The sequence below is a fragment of the Homo sapiens genome, chromosome 1, assembly GCF_000001405.40.
Source record: "Homo sapiens chromosome 1, GRCh38.p14 Primary Assembly".
In the NCBI taxonomy this organism is placed as follows: Eukaryota; Metazoa; Chordata; class Mammalia; order Primates; family Hominidae; genus Homo; species Homo sapiens.
The window spans coordinates 213,828,832-213,846,452 of NC_000001.11; the positions used below are offsets into that span (position 1 = coordinate 213,828,832).

Genomic DNA, 17,621 nt, shown 5'->3' on the forward strand with positions numbered 1-17,621 from the left:
AAAGAAAACTTATTACCTAGTAGTTTGATATCTTTCCTATGTGGTATAAAAATTTCAAACAGATCACCTAGTGGGGAAATGTAATCACAGTTTTTAATTAACATAAAGTCTCCAAGACATTTGTTGTTGTTATATTACTTTTATACAGTGTAAATCAATTAGCTGCAACGGGCTAGTGGGTGCAGAGAGTGGCAGTCAGTCACTGGGCAGATAATTGCTCTGTTGCTGAGATTAACACCTTATCATGCTATTAGGACCACTTATGAATCTTGTAGTCCCGACGAAGCCTACAATTTAGGGACTATCCATTCCAGCTGTCTCCATTTCTATAGCCTCCTACATGCAAACAATTGTTGCATTAAGTGCTGCATTTAATTAAAGGCCCTTCCCATGTCATGGGTACAGTCACAGGAAAGACAAGAGACCTCGTTTGTTTCAAAAAAAAAAAAAAAAAAAAGCACCTCTTGCTGGTGATTAGTTAGTGTTAAAGCAATCAGGATTAAAGTCAGGGAGGCCACAAAAGAAGGATAAGATATTGATGACTGTGGAATTGTCAGTCGGAAAGTACATACATAGCTTTACTTTTATGTGTTAGTAAGAAATCAGTGATGAGAAATATGAGCCTGGGTTTCTTCTCACTTTAAAGGGTCATATCATCAAAGCCTGGAGTGCTCCACCTCTTCCCAAAAGTCCAACCAAGCATCTTACCAGAATTGTTTTTAACTATCAGATTCTAGCATGAGAGGTCAGAAATTGGGGATTGACGAGGCAGGTTGGGGAAAGCACGAACCAAGACATTCAGATTGGTTTGTTGTATCCAAGTAAAGAGAGAAATTTATCTCCAAGGGAGCTCTGATTATATTTTAACAAAGGGAAGCAAGCTTTCCCTGGGACAATTCTTACTGGAATAGGAGACACCCCCTCCCCCAAAAAAGTCAAACAGGCAACAAATAATTTTACCATTACCAGGTAATATGTGTTAATTGCTCAGTTTATATACTCAGAATGCCATACCATTAGAGACTGTGTATGCATTGTAACTAGAGCATTAATAAATTTAAAATGTGCCTATTAGGATGACAGCTTTGGAGGTGCAAAGGAATAACAGTTATCACTTGGCAGAAGCCGCTCTCACCCCATCTGCCGAGACTTTGCATACATTTTCAGCTTCCTGAGCAATGATTAGGCCTGTCAGAACCTCTTTAACCTTCTAACTGCTGGTCCCCACTGGCCGTAATTAGAGACTAATGAATTCAGAAGATGCAGGCCGTGAGGAAAACTGCCTTGACAGTTTGTGTACAAATTAAGCCCCAATTACTTCATGCATCTTTTGCATCGCTGATACAAGTCTCTGTTATTATTTTTGAATATGGTCATTTTAGCAGAAACGAAGAACTTGGCTAATGTATTTTGTCATTTTTATGGCTCATCATAAAGAAAAAACATACTGGGCGGGTCATGAATATGTGAAATAAACTACAGCAGATTATAAAAAGAAATTAATTTTCCTTTTGAGAATACCCTACCACCTTTTCATCCCCCCAATGGATAAACTTATTAATATGGTTATTTTTATTCTGATAATATCTGCCATTTAAGGAGCCTGACTCACGAGCAGGTAGTCTGGCTTAGGTTTAGCCTCCAAGTGAGGAGCATTTGGAAGTGTGGTGGCCCTTCATTGCTAATCCCGGTATAAAGACTGCTTCGAGAATATTGTCAGAAAACTCTTTGTTCTGTGCCCTTACTTGCCCCTCCACCTTCAACGGCCATGGTGAAAAGTTTGTAACTGCAAGAGGCATAGCTTTTAAATGACAATAGAAAGGTCCAATGTCACATTCTTTAAAAAAAAAAAAAAAAAAACTCTCAAAACGATATTGAATCTTGTTTCAGCCTCACGGGTCAACCTGACTAGATATTCTATTTTAGTCATTTGGGGGATCCCTTCCCCTACTCTTTTACTTTATACACAAAAATCCTGGCTTATATGTCCTCAGAAAGCCAGGGGAGTAGGCCCACATGTCTGCAGGATAGTCATCACCTTTCTGGCTCTTTCTTTAGCTACAAGATGCTGCTGTTGACAGTGGGTTCTGCCAAATGTCTTGGTCTCTGTTGCTCTGGGCAGCTCAAAGACCCCCCTGCCAGTGGTCCTTCCCTGCTGAGGACCAGTCTCCTATAGCCATCCTTCACTAAAGTTCCTGCATGCCAGAGGGCTCCTATTCCTGCTCCACACCAGCCTCAGAGAAAGTTAAGATTCTTCCTTCTGCCTGGCCACCTTCAACTCCCCAGCTTAAAGCACTTCCCTTCGTTCTCTCTGGTGGTAGGCAGAATAATCCCACCCTGCTTTAAAAAAATGTTTATTTCCTAATCCCCAGAACCTGTGAAGGTGTCACCTCACATGGAAAAAGGGACTTTACAGATGTGATTAAACTAAAGATCTTGAGATGGGGGGATTATCAAGGTTGACTCAATCTAATCACAAGGTCCTTATCAGAGGAAGACTGGGGAATAAGAGTCAGTAGTAGGAGGTGTGACAATGGAAGCAAGAGGTTGGAGTGATGTAAGGAAGGGGCCACAAGCCAAGGAATGCAGGTGGCCTCTAAGAGCTGCAAAAGGCCAGGCAATGAGTTCTCCCCTGAAGTCACCTGAAGGAGCTATCCCTGCAGACACCTTGATTTCAGACTTCTAATGTCTGGAACTATAAGACAATAAATATATATTGTTTTAAGCCACTACATTTGTGGTAATTTGTCACAATAGCAGGAGGAAACTAATATAGCTTTCTCCTATGGAAACATAAAGATTTGTGTTTGTATTATAATAATTATAATTCCAATAATAATTAATGTAACAATTTATTTTATATAAATTAATAGTATCTGTCTTCTTATCTCTAAGATTGAAATCATAAGCTATCTTCATGAGGATGTTATGGTAACTAAGGGAATTAAAGAATCATTTGGATATGTGGACCAAAGTAGATATGCAATAAAAAGTTGACAAAGTGCAGCTCAAAAGTGAGTCTTAGTATGAATATGAGCCAAGACAGTGTCAGCCCCTACCTGGCTTCCTCTGCGCTAGGTCCTTACAACTGGATCTTTAATGGTCTCTAGATACAGGCTCCAGCCCACCTATTCTTGAATGGCAGGAAGCAGTAGTTTCTTGTCTAGTGGACCTAAACTTGACCTACCTACTCTTTTAGACTCTGAATACTGTAACCAAGACCCATGTATTTGGTCTGTGGTATCACCTCCAGGTCTTCTTCATAGTCAAAAATTATCTGGGTCTCAAGTTTAGTGAGCAAGATACTGGAGTTTGAGTAGCTATAACATTATAGTGAATCTGCCTACTGTGTTGGCTTCACCTTGGGATTGGGTATTTGCCTAAGACCTTAACCTTAGGGGGAAGAAGCCTTAATTCTATTTGCTTCACCTGTTGAGGACTCCTGTTCTGGGACCAGAAGCTACATCCTCAACCCAATCCATTGACTGGGGCCATAAGACCCCACGTCATACTTGTTCATCCCTTTCTGGGCCCTATGTCTTTCCTCTTTATCCCCCAAATTTAACCACATTCATAAGCCATCCTTGGATAGATTCTTGAGTGAATATCAAAAGCTAGCTTGACTGGGGGGATTTGATCCACACCTTAACACATGCTGTTGTACCACTGAGTTGTTCTCTCCAGACCTACCTGAGTCATGTTGTCCATTTTCCCGAGACCATCAAGTTCTTGTCCTGTATACTCCTCTGCTTATGTTCTAGGTTGCCATCAGCACATTGTCAAGGCTGGCTCTGAGTCCAATGAGTAAAGAGAAAGGCTAAATAAAGATGGCCATGGCTGAAACATTGACTTAGAAACTCATTTCATTAGAGTGATTTATTAAAAAGCAGTACTTAGAAAAAGCATATTATTCATCTCTTTAACATGATTGCATTAGAGTGATTTTTTTCTGGTGACAACTTTCGAGGTAGGTTTTTAAAAGAATAAACACAGTCTAGTGGAAAATTATGCCTAAAGTCTTGGCCTGCAGTGACAAGGTACAGACTGCTACTAACTGAGGCCTTCCCATAGACCTCCCCTTCCTGTGAACTCCTAACTTAGCTGCAGCCTGACAGAATAGTAATGAGAAGTATGAAAGTCCAGGAGCAGGGAGAAAAAATGGGTGGAAACAAGAGGCCCCAGACCCTGCCCACACCCCCGAAGACCCATGTGGGGAAACAGCTCTCCAGCCTTCAGCAGACAAGCTTCAGGGGATGCTGAAGAGAAGAGGGAGGACTAAACCCACAGAGCCTGGAGCTGCATTTTAGATTCACAGAACCCCAGAATGGGAAATTGTGGACCAGAAAGGCCAAAGCATGACCACTTTCTTCCCTTTGTGATGGCAACACAGCAGACCTTCCTATCAGGCCTTCATGGCCACGGTCTTGAAATGAACTCAAGAAGTGCTACTGTGGGCCAGGATCAGAAGGTGTACCCCATGGATATCCAGAGCCCCAGGAGGTTATACGGTCTTCAAAGAGCCCAGTATTATACCCTCATTCTCTCTCCTAGGAAAGCAAAAATCATTTCTATCATTCCTATTCAAATTGTGGCTCATTTATTTGTTTGTGAAACTGACATTAACTAGGCTTCTGAAAGACCTCACCCATGGATGATGTTCTGAGCTAACACACCCTCCCTGCCACCTAGAAGAGTTTCTCTCTGTGTGTCTTTGACTCCTCATCCTCCACATCTTGGCTCTGGGATCTCCACACTCATTCAGCAGAGGGTCTTTGTATTTCAGAGGAGATTCAGTGCTCTTTATAAATTTAATTTACATGGAAGCCTGGTAAATAGTTTAGGGTCTGAAGGGAGATAGGCCTGACCCCGCCACACCCTGGCGCTACTCTGCACAGAAATGTCACCTGACGTGTGAGAGACAGCATGCATGTAGCGGGCTGGGCTACAGGTCTCCTTTTGTCTCAGCTACTAGAGGTGGGACAAGTCAGGGTGGCCCACTACCATGTGGGTGGAAAACTTTTGAGTCTCATTTACACCATATTTGTTTTTAAAGCATACCACAGAACTTATCTTTGAAAGGCTCATGCATTCTCTAGATTTGCTTCTGAAGTTAGAAGAAAATTCCTCTTTCACATGGAAAATGTTAATTTCACCCAAAATGAGGTTAAATAAATTAAAGTGTGATAGGCTCGTAATGGTCTATTATGTTCTTTTTTCGGGGAGGAATGAGGTCTCATTCTATTATTTCCTAGGCTGGAGTGCAGTGGCACAATCACGGCTCACTGCAGCTTTGACCTCCTCAGGCTTAGGTGATCCTCCCACTTCAGCCTCCCAAGTAGCTGGGACTACAGGTAATGCACCCAGCTAATTTTTTGTAGAGATGGGGTTTTGCCAGGTTTCCCAGGCTGGTCTCAAACTCCTGAGCTCAAACAATCCACCCACCTTGGCCTCCCAAAGTGGTGGGATTACAGGTATGAGCCACTGTGCCTGGCCATGGTTTTATATGAAAAAGCAAAGACTGTTCACCACAATGCTGGGACAAGTAGAGCCCTAACTCCAGTGCTCCAAAACTGGTCCACATAGGAGCATCCTCTCTGGCACTGTTCCAATCCATTCCCTTGTTATGTTTTTATAAGTCTCTTTATCTCACTAAAAGCATTTTCCTTTAAGGATGGAGATAATTCATCTAGGTATCTCTCTAAAGTGCCTAGTTCACCAAGAGCAAAGTCTTCAAAAGACATTGCAAAATAAAATTAAAATATATCACTAACAACCTATTCTTAAAAGGTACCCCTAATGGTTAAAATATATTCTTAAAAGTTAATTTCTAATGGGGTCACCTCCATAGAGCCCTTCTCAAACACACACACACACACGTACACACACACACACACACACCCCAAAATGATCTCCTAAAACTGAGCAGGTCATTTTCACAGTATCTCTGCAGGCTTTCTGAAGATAAGGACTGTTTTCCGCATTCTGTATTTGATACAGCACCTAGTTCACTGAGACCATCCAGGGATGCATCACACATTTATTTAGTGCTTACGTAGGGCTGGGGAAATCGCAGCCATCAAGACAAAGTCTCTCATTGACATTCTAGTATGTGCTGGGAGGTGGGGGAGAGGGAAATAGATAATAGACGAGCAAATGAAAAAACACCAGACACTATAAAGCCTATTAAAAAGTAGATGATGGGTGGTGACTAGATGTATGAAGAGTGCCATTTATATTGAGGTTCAGGAAAGCCCTCTCAAAATCGAAATTAAATTAAAAATGCAGTCAGTGTCCACATGACAAGAAGGAGCTAGTCATGGAAGCATCTGGAGCAGGAGTGTCCTAGGAAAAGCCAACAGCCAGAGGCAGGACCGGCTTGGAATGCTGAGGAGCCAAAAGAAAGCCAGTGTGGCTGAAGTCTTTGAATGGCAAGGACAAGTTCAGGAAATGGGATCACAGAGGTAAGCAGGAACCTGATCACAGGGAGCTCTGTGAGTTTTGAAATATGTTTGGATTCTTGAATCGGTAACAGAGGCCATTAGATGTCTTAGGTAGGGAAGAGGCATCATCTGCTTTATGTTTTAGAGATCACTCCCCTAATGGCTACGCTGGGGATGGAAGGCAGGTGAGAGGAAGCACTGGGCGACCAGTTAGGAGGCTGCTGCGGAAGTCCCCTGGAGAGCCAGACTTGGCAGGGAGGACAGCTGAGCAGGAGTAATAACTGCACTAACATCCCTCAAGAAATGCAGGAGAGGCTTTCTGCACAGAGGAATAGCATGAACAGGATGTCATGGAAGAGATCCTTTTCTCCAGGTATACCAAACTCTCAGTTCCAGGCTCACAGCACCAGTACCAGGCTCACACTTCATTATTTTCACATAGATATTCTCCCACATGAAGTTTATAAATGTTTTGCCAAGTTCCTCACTTGAGGGGGACTAGAGTGAGGCTGAGATGAGTGAGAAGAGGAAGAGGAGGGAGATGAAGAGTCTATGAGCTCTTCCCTTCCCTTTTAACTCACATCACGGCTCCTAATACATATAAGTGTGGGTGTGTGTGTCTTCATTATTTGCATGTAGATATTCTTCCACGTGAAGTTTAGAAATGTTTTGCCAGGTTCCTCATTCAAAATCATTGTTTGGAATTTGATTGGGATTGCATTATATTTATAAAAATAATTTGGGGAGAATTGACATCTTTACTGAGTTGAGAACTTGATATACCTGGAGAAAAAGGAGTCCAAACAGAAAAAAGAAAAGAAACAAGAGAATCAAAACATGCCAAACACACAGGAGTCATCTTAGCAAGAGAGTAAAAAATGGAAGGCTTTTATAAAAAATAGTATCAACAGAGTTAAGGGACACAGAACAAGACCAGAAGGCATGTAGGCCTATCTTACACAATTGGATGACCAGATTCAACTCAGTAAAGATGTCAATTCTCCCCAAATTATTTTTATAAATATAATGCAACCCTAATCAAATTCCAAATGATGTTTTTGAATGAGGAACCTGGCAAAACATTTCTAAACTTCATGTGGAAGAATATCTATGTGAAAATGTTGAAGACATGCACAACCACACTTAAATGTGTTAGGAGCCATGATGTGTGTTAAAAGGGAAGGGAAGAGCTCATAGACTCTTCATCTCCTTCCTCTTCTTCTTCCCACTCTTCTCAGTCTCACTCTAGCCCCCCTCAAATCCCCCTTCCCTTACATCACTTTCTAATTGATGTGAGTTAAAGAGTAAGTGTCCTCTCACACATGGTACTATAGCAGTGTTTTTTCAAACTTTTTTGATTGATAAATATATGATGTATATAGAAATATACATATATTATTGAAACAAATGTTTCTGAAATAATACCTACTATTGCCATATGTGACTCACGTTTTTATTTTTTACTCTTTTTTACTCTATTCTATCCAACTCTATTTGGCTAAGAAATTATATGTGCTCAGAACCCTCTTAATTGATTTTATAGCTCACTAACGTGTCAGGACCCATAGTTTCAAAAACACTGCCCTCAGGGACTCTGGTGATTTCAGTCACCAACCCCAATCAGCAACCTCTTTGGCTGAATATTTTACCCCGTTTGCTTTAATATAAGTTCAGGAAGCACTTCATTTAGATTTTCTGCTAGCCTGAGAATGGAGAGAACAATTAAATCTCAACTGGTCTGGAAACAAGAGAAGTGGAATTTATGGTTTGTTTGTTTTTTTGTAATGATGATTATGATTAAATAAAGCTCCCAGCAGTTCCTCAATGGGAGCCCCAGCTCCCATCTCTGCTGTGGTTAGCTTTTCCCTTCCATCTGGTAGGCCCATTCAGCTCCTCTGTTCCAACAGGCCAGTTTTTTAAAAATAGAAAGGGGACTAAAGAACATATTTCACCTCATTGCATGGAATACAGTAACCCTCTAAGGCAAGATATTTGTTTTTAACTGCATGGAACTGAAGCACCTTCTGAAAAAAAATCAAGCTACAACTCTGTTCTCTCTATAAAAATTTAAAATCACATAGATTACCCATCTGGCATATCTCCTAATTATGCAGCTCTTAGTGGACTAATACTCTCTTCAGAAGCAAAACAGTAAATATACAAAGGGAAACATGATTAATAATTTCTTTTTGTTCTGTCTTTCAGCAGAAGTCCCCACTCATTCATGCTCTCCACTGAAAATGTTTCATAACTGTACCCAAAGACAGGCATGAAGAACTGTCCCCTGACTATTTGCCCAAGAAAGAGGAGGGAGAGACACACAAGCAGAATTTACTTTTTAACAGAAAGGCATTAATAGAGCAGGCACCCTGCACTGGTTTTTATCTTTACAGCTGAGTGTGTGTGTGTGCGTGTGTGTGTGTGCATGCACATGTGCAAATGGGACACTTTTTACTATGTTAACTTTTACCTCTATTTTATTATGTATCTGTTAAATTCAATTTTGCTTCAACAAATCAGTTTTCTGAATAATCAAGTGAATATATTTTGTTAAACAAGCTATGCCACTTACACTTGAGACAAACCTTTTTTTTTAAACAAAGCTGCATATAGGCTCATTGTTCCAGAAAATATCATATCCTACTAGATGAATTTATGTGCACTCAGTCAAAATTGCATGGAAAACCCAATGAATTGTCAGTAATTTATCTTTCACGTTTTACTATCATTTTCTTTACACCTTTGTCTCTTCAGCACCATTTGTACAAATGACAGGAACCTCTACTCTCTCGCTCCCATTAAAAGAGAAGTCACTAGTTTCCTAGTATAAATGAATTTTGTGTGTAATTTTTATCATGAAAACTTTAAAGTGTGATGTGTTTCTTCATGAAAAAAAAATCAGGCTACAGCTTGCACAGTTAGTGACCTATTCAATAGTCACACCTATATTTTTCCTTGAGAATAGAACCTCAGTATTTTTTTGAAGTGAAAATATAGCTAAATATTTGTTTTCCCAGATTCCTTTGACCCTTGGGATGACCATGTGACATATTTCAAGCCAAGAAGACCTAAGCAGAAGCCAACTGGAAGTTTTCAGGAAGTCTTTATGTTCTTGATTTTGGGAGACAGATATGGCTGGCATGGCCCTTCCATCTTCTTTCCCTGAGCAAAGAAGTGATGGCTGGAGCTGAAGCAGCCTTCTTTAGATCATGAGGCAAAAAGTAAGAAAATTACAAAGACATTGGCTCTGAGATCTCTGAACCACTGAACCAACAGTAGCAGCCCACTACCTTCCGATTTGTATTTTTCTGAGAAAAAAAAAAATGAAACCTTATTTGTTTAAGCCATTGGTTAGTCAGGTATCCTGTTACTTGCAACCTAAATGAGAGGCATGCAAAATTTCACATGAAGTTCTACAGCCTCCAAATTCTGTGGAATGCCTCAGGAGCTGGTGCGCAGGACCAGGCAAAGGCTAAGCTGGCAGGAGGAACTCTCCCTCTACTGGCACCAGATTTCCTCAGACTTGCTCATTTTTTTATCTCATATATTGAGATTCCATGTAAGGATTCACTAGAGAGAAATTAATTCTTCTGTCAAAATTCTATGTTTAAAACCACTGGATTAGATGCTTAAAGCAGAAGATTTATTGGCTTTCTTATAGGAAGAAATCCACAGAAATGAATCACTAATGATGAGATTTTAGCAATATGGTGTCTGTAAGATGAAAGCATTTTAATAAGGAAAGTCTAGCCTGAATGCTCTCCTGATGCCATTACTTTCTCTTCTTTCCACGTGGCCTGAGTAACAACCTGATATCATGTAACTTTTACAGTTAGGTTGGTTCATTGTTCTACTGAGAGGTGCAAAGAGGACCAACATAATCCTATGTTGTAACTGAATACCAGGGATCAAATCCTGTGGAGAAGGTAAAACCAGAGAACCAAGGAATATTTTAAAATTAATAACAGGTACTTCAGAGGAGAAGGAGATGCACAGAGGTGTCAGTTTCCCTGTCAAAACTTTAAGTTTCATAAGTGCATCTCTCTGCTTTTGTATCTCTCTTCTCCAGCCATCCTGGCCCTGGGGCAAGGCTAGGATTGTTGAATGTCTTGAGACCAAACACTCCGATGAGTTTCCTTCCTTTCTGAAGGAGTTTGAGGCATACTTTATGTCATAGTGATGTCTTGAAATGGTTCATGTACCCTGAATTTTGGTATTCAAACTCGCATTTTAAGTTCATTATGGGTTCTCACAAGTTAAAACAAAAAGTTGAGAATGAGAAGAATGCCTGTCTACCTCTCCTCGCCTCTCATGTGCACGCCCCCTCCCACCTCGGAACCTCATTCCTCCTGCAGGGTCAGTGTCATTTTGCTCACTACACTACCTTTCTCCTCAGGTGTTCATTACCATACAGTATGGGCTTTGGAACTAGAGAGGCCTGGGTTTCATCCAGGCTGTCCACTTACTGCCTGTGTGACGTTGGGCTAGTTGCTAAGTTTTTCCTCCATGCTTCAGTTTCTTCATGCCTAAATAAGATATAAGAATAATACCGATCTAGTAGGGTTATTGTGGGGCTTAAATAACTTAAAATAGTTAAAAAGCCTAGAACAGTTCCTGGACCATCGTCAGTGCTGAATGAATGTTAGCCATTACTGTTGTTGTTGCCATTGTAAATTACCTACTACCAAGCTTCATCTGCCTATTTGTAAATGGGGATAAGAATGCCCCCATACAATGAACTCTCAGCAAGTGGACAATACATCGACTAAGCAACTCCTGTTGCCAGCTCGTGCACTTTCCCCCACTAGAAATGCCTCTTGCCTAGGTTCTGCCTGCTTGGAGCTTCTCAGCACCTTACAGCCTGCATTAATTCAAACTTCCTTTTCAAAGTCTTCTCTAATGTCAGTAGTCCATCCTGTCCTCTCCTGTCACAAATAATGATAAATATTAATATAAGTACCTCCCAATTTAATACAAGGTCATAAGTTATCTTTTATTGTTCTTTACCACTTATCAGTTTCCCTGTCAAAACTTTAAGTTTCATAAGTGCAAAGATTCATTCTTCTACACTCAGTATGTGCTGGGCACATAATGAGTGCTCATTCAACACGTATTGATTGCCCTACTCATCTTTACTCTGAGTTTATATTTTTATATGCATATATGAAGTTTCTTTCAAAACAGGTTATATTTATAGTGCAGCAAAGTACCAGAAAAGGCATCCACATGATCTCACCTAAACTATAATTGGGCATAAACCCAGTATCAGAGGAAACTTGGAAAGGGTTTTCTTCCTCTGTAAGGCTGAGAGAAGGCAGGATTTATACCCCTGAAACAGAAGAAAAAATGAGGCAGTATCTTCTTGATCTTATTTCGTCAACTGGTATTCCCCCTTCCCTTAGGTCTTACCATGGCCAAATTCAAGAAACAGATGTTTGCATTAAAAAAAAATCTCCCCTGAGTCAGTGTGGCTGTTTATCCAATTTTCACCCTGCCATCCAGACTTCAGTTATGTCCAACAAGGCCCAAACAACAAGTTGGAATGTACAAACTTGAGCCTGTGGAAGAGTTCAGGGAGAGGTGAGATGGCCCCACGTTAGGGATGCTAGAGAGGAGATCTCACTGTGATGAGAAGTGGGACAAGAAAACTTCTTTTCCCATTGAGAGAAAACTTTTTTCCCAGCTCAGGATCCACAAGCCGATGAGCTCTACTGTTTTCTAAGTAAAGACACAGTCTTTTAGGCTGCCCCTCTCTGCTTTTATCACTTCTCTATGGTCTCCCAAAAGTAAAATAAATGTTTAAATTTTTTTGAACCTGATTGCTCCACAGAGCCATTCCATATTAATGATCTGAGTATGTACATCTTTCTTTTTTTGACTCCCCTGTTGAATTGGTCTACTGTGATGGTCACATGAACTACGGATGATTGCATCAACAATAAGATGGTTCTGCCTTGATGATCTGTAAATCTGTTAAGTTTGCCTATTGCAACTTCTTTCCTCCAACATGCCCCTAGCAAGTTGTTTTTAAAACATGAAGATTGGAGGAGATGCTTCTTAATGCAATTTATAACATCTCAGAGGTGAGAATTGAAAGCCCAGCTCTGATTGCAACATCTGCTCTGAACAAGAGCATCTAGGGACCTGCTATGAGATTTTTTGTCTTAAGGATGATCACCATGTATGTTCACAAATAAAAACGTGAAGCGTTCTGACAGCCAAGCAAACCATGAAGAATTAAACCTCCCAAACAGGAAAACACACTCCAACATTCTTGCTACTATTCATTTGAGGAAACTCCTTCATTCTGAGTCTCCTCACTTCCTCCCCCAATCCCCACCATTGCCTTCCCAACCCTGCTCAGTTTTATCCCTCATAGACATGTTTCTGCACAAGGGCAAGATTCCATTTGGAGGGGGAATTGTCCAATTTTTAAGGAAACAGTTTCTTAATGATAAAATCAGACTTTTCCAGCAAAGATGTTTGAGACAGTGTGTTCAGTAGAAGTGAAGGAGGGCTTATGAAGTAACCTGCATCTCCCTAGGCAAAAGTTTTCAATGACTCATCAGTGCCGTCCAAATCACTTCCCTTGGAATTTCAGTCCCTCTGATCCCTGGCCTCAGTCTGTCCTTCTGATCACAATCCCAATTGCACTTCAGGTTAGCTCAAGACAACCTGGACCAGCCTGTGTTTCCACTTCCATCTTCATGTTCTTCCCCCCACTCTTTTATTTACACCAGCTTTTACACTGGAAATCCTCTTTACCCATTCACTGACCAAAATCCTACCTCCTTTCTGTATCTAATTCAAGGGCTCTGTCCTCAGGAGGGCTCCAGTTTCTCCTGATCTTCAGGTTGGATGTGATCGCTCCATTTCATACAGTCACATAGTCCTTGTCTTTAGCGTGTATCACACTCTGCCTTGTATTATGGACACTGCCTCCTGCAACACTGTGGTCTCAAGAGGAACCTCCCATAACAAATTAGTGCACAATACAGTGCCTCGTATATGACAAACCATCAATAAATACATGATTTTGTAGGTTGAGTCCATTCATGGGGTGATCAGGAAGACAGGAGAGGCAGTACCTAAGGGCCTGTCTCCCCTCCACCACCATATTTGTGCCCCTTTCACTGGCTAACTGGCAGTGAGAGATATTTTGGGGGAGTCAAGATGCAGGGACTGTTAGCTTTTATTTTATTTTGACTTGTCAAATACTTACCTGGTTGAAAGCTTAAAATAATATAAAAAGGTATACATTACAAATTCAGCATGAGAACTTTTGCCTGACATCCCCCAAGGCCAATCCTCACCAGCGTGATTCAGTTGACTCTACTAATAGCCCCACAACACTTCCATGGTCTTCAGACATTGAAAAATGCATGCAGTTGACAAATTATCTTGGATTTTTTTCTAGCCAGATTGAGCAATAAAAATAATGTATGTGTTTATCAAATAGGTTATCTGCTATCAAGTAGACAAAATAACAAAGTGATAAACTCTTTAATCAATTTGTTGCATCATGCAAACTTGGCCCCCAGTCCAGTTCTGTTTTAGGGGCCAAGTGGTTAAAAGAACATCTTTCATACCATATGCTTACTACCAATTTTACTTAAATAGTGTACTGTATTAGATTAGTCAGGGTTCTCCAGATAAACAGCTCCAATAGGCTAGAGATATATAATCTATGTATTTATTTTAAGGAATGGGTTTACATGATTGTGGGGCTGGCAAATCAGTAGAGGACAAGAGGCTGGAAATTCAGGGAAAAGTTGTTATTGCAGTCTTGAGTCTGAAATCTACAGGCTGAAAACTTAGGCAGGGTTTCCATGTTGCAGTCTCTAGACAGAATTGCATTTTCTTCTGGAAACCTCAGTCTTTGCTCTTAAGACCTTCTGCTGATTGGATGAGATCCGCCCACATTTTTAAATGTAATCTGCTTTACTCAAAGTCTACTGATTTAAATGTTAATCACATCCAAAATACACCTTCACAGCAACATCCAGACTGGTGTCTGAAGAAACTACTGGGCACCACAGCCTAGCCAAAGGTGACACATAAGATCAACCATTACAAATGGAAACAAAACTCCAACTGAAGGTGGTTGGCTAAGAGACATTTTTGGCATAGGGTAATACTGTTTCCCCACAAGCCTTGGGAAGCTCTTCATCCTGGCTAAGTTTCCTGAAACAACTAAGCCAAAAAGCTTACCGGACCCCAACCTGAAGCACTGGAAAGTTCTGAAAGTTCCTTCAGTGCAGAATAGTAGAACAAAGTTCCTAAGTGCTTCTATATATCTGGAAAACATTTCAGAGACCATTCCAGTGAATTTTAGAAAAGCATGGGCCAACACAGTTTTCAAAGAAAAAAATCTCCTGACCAACCCCATTGGAAATAAAGTGTAATCATGTCACCAAAATAATTCTTAAATACTATAACAAGAAGTTGATAATAGAATAAAACTTAATGAATAGATTAGGGGGTGAGATGTACTGTTCAATAAGAGAAAGATGATTTTCTTTCCCATCTTCCTTTTTCCTTTCTTTTCTAACCCCTTCTGTTCTTTTCACTTCTTTCTCTCTCTGGCCTTTAAATATTATTTTTTTATGGCTTCTTGGTGTAAGAAAAAGACTCTTTAAAACTATGACCCAATGTCAGAAAGAGAGCAGAGTAGTCTCTCAAACTAATGGCTGTTGTTGAGGACTCCTTTAGTGATATTCAGCTAGGGGGAAAAAAAAAAAGAAGAAGAGAAAAAGAACTTTGCAATAAATGGCCTTCATGGAAGAAGAGTATTCATGTTAATTAGTAGCTCTTTTCAAATATGATTCATATATGCATTAGGCTATGCCATGCTGAACAATGCACACATTGTAATAAACATCAAGACAAGTCTCAAGTATGGTTATCAAAATTTTAGAAAACTCTAGCTAGGGTTTTTTTCATAAGATTGTGACTTGCTGTTCCTGGTGCATTGCACAATAGTAACTCTCCTAATGGCTTTTAGCTTTTGCCACTGCCAACTTTTATATTTAAAATTCATACAATTATGGACAATTTGTGAACATTATGAGGCTTTTCTTTTTTGCACTGATTCTTACTGATTCAAGCCAGCTTTTATCCTTAGCAAATCAAATGCATTTTGCTTACAACACTAGATTCATTCTCACATATTCCACTTTATTCTTATTATTAGTATTCCTTATTATGCATATTTAATTTAAGAATGCATTTTCTCCATTAAAAAATTAGAATATGCTGAAAGAAGTACTAGAAGGTGATTATTTGCTTTAGTTTGCTTTTATTAACTATGTAAGCCCTGATATGGTCTTCCCAAAGTTACAAGCAAGAGATAAAAATGTTAAAAAGCAAGAAATAAGATAAAATAAAAATCTGCTTGAAAATCACAGGCATTTTTTATGTGATGATGCATTTATAAGGTATCAAATTTGATAAGAGAATGGATTTTTAAAAGCTCAGTTTTATATGAATGGAGAAAGGCTATAAATACGCTGGAGTTTCTTAAGCAAATACACCACTAAGTATGGTTCTTCAGAAACTAGTCCAGCAAGATGCATCTTGCAAAAGTAAAAAGTATGAAGTCAGATGCACACCTTCCCTACCTCCACCCCAGCTGCACAAAACACCTCAGCATGTTAAAGCCTTTGAGAACCCCCCAGCACCCCCACATTACGGGAAATACAGCCATAGTGCATTCAGCCTGAAGAAACTTGTCAATCCTCCAGACAGAGGGCTTCTGCCCCCGCACTTCAACCCCCACCCCACTCTCTCCGACAAAACAAGGAAAATTACATGGGTGAAGGCTTAGCCTTCATTCTTACAGTAAACCTCTTTAACAAAATAGCTAGGAATTTAGAGTCTGTGAGAAAATAAATAATCAGTTAAAATTCCTTTCTTAATTTTGCAATTATTGACTGTAGGCTGTCACCCAAGTGATTGGTTTTTTCAGGTGTTTAACAAGTTTGAATCTTCCCCCTTCTACCCCAAAGTTATTGATTTAACTGGTTGTCTTAAAATTGTGAGGGCAAACCAAAGAACTGGGATCTCATCCCTTTGTTATTTTGGGGAATGCTTTCCTCCCTGGCCACCTCACCCCCATGCTTTTCAACACTACACACACCTGTTAACTTTGATTTGGGTCCTGTATCAACCACACTGACTACAGTAGAGAAGAACAAAGAGCACATTTATTAATTTCTTGCCTATGCTGCTATCATTTGTCATTGGTTTAAGACCTTAAAATCTATAGATACCAATGGACTTTGTCTCTACTATGAAATCCAAATAAGTTAATACTATGTAACATTTTGGGGGCACCTATTAAGAATCTTGTTATGTGAAGGACATTATATTAGCAACTTTTGATAGGTACTAGATATTACCTAATCGTAATACACCTACAAGAGTTTTGGCCCACATTGCCTGGACAAAAATCCTGGTTCCTCCACTTTCTAGCTCTGTGAATACATATTACATAATCCTTCTGTGCCTCAATTTTCACATGTGAAAAATAGGGACAATAATAATACCTGCCTCATAGAGTTATTGTGAGGATTAAACATAAAACCCTTAAAACAGTATTCTCCAAAGCTAATTCCTCCCTGTAGATCCTGGATCCTATGCCTTTAGGGACCCCTAGGGTATTTCTCTTCCACCTGATAACCCCTGTCATTTTGGACTCTTTGGCTTCCTTCTTATAAGGCTTAAAAGAAAAAAGGGCAGGCCGGGCGGGGTGGCTCACACCCGTAATCCCAGCACTTTGGGAGGCTGAGGTAGGTGGATCACGAGGTCAGGAGTTCAAGACCAGCCTGGCCAACATGGTGAAACCCCGTCTCAACTAAAAAAAAAAAAAAAAAAAAAATTAGCCTGGCGTGGTGGCACTTGCCTGTAGTCCCAGCTACTAGGGAGGCTGAGGCAGGAGAATCACTTGAACTTGGGAGGCGGAGGTCGCAGTGAACCGAGATCACACCACTGCACTCCAGCCTGGGTGACAGAGCGAGACTCCATCTCAAAAAAAAAGAAAGAAAAAGAAAAAAGGGTAGAGCTCAACCAGTGTTAAAGTTAGTTCTGCTGAACTCCATACCCAATGCGCTCCCCACTAACAGCGCCTCCACTTCATTGCCTCACCACTCCTGTGTGGGTCCTAATATCTCAAAAGAAAAT

General features: G+C 40.3%; 1 protein-coding gene and 1 long non-coding RNA gene across 2 annotated transcripts in view; one reads left to right on the plus strand and one right to left on the minus strand.

Moving 5' to 3' along the window:
* The window catches only part of RPS6KC1 (ribosomal protein S6 kinase C1), an 811,495-nt gene that overhangs the window by 777,591 nt on the left and 16,283 nt on the right, over window positions 1-17,621 (plus strand). The window lies entirely within an intron of this gene.
* The window catches only part of PROX1-AS1 (PROX1 antisense RNA 1), a 166,513-nt gene that overhangs the window by 9,191 nt on the left and 139,701 nt on the right, over window positions 1-17,621 (minus strand). Inside the window, exon 5 of the long non-coding RNA NR_037850.2 lies at window positions 3,691-3,791. This is a non-coding gene — a long non-coding RNA (PROX1 antisense RNA 1). The remainder of the gene's footprint in view (window positions 1-3,690; window positions 3,792-17,621) is intronic.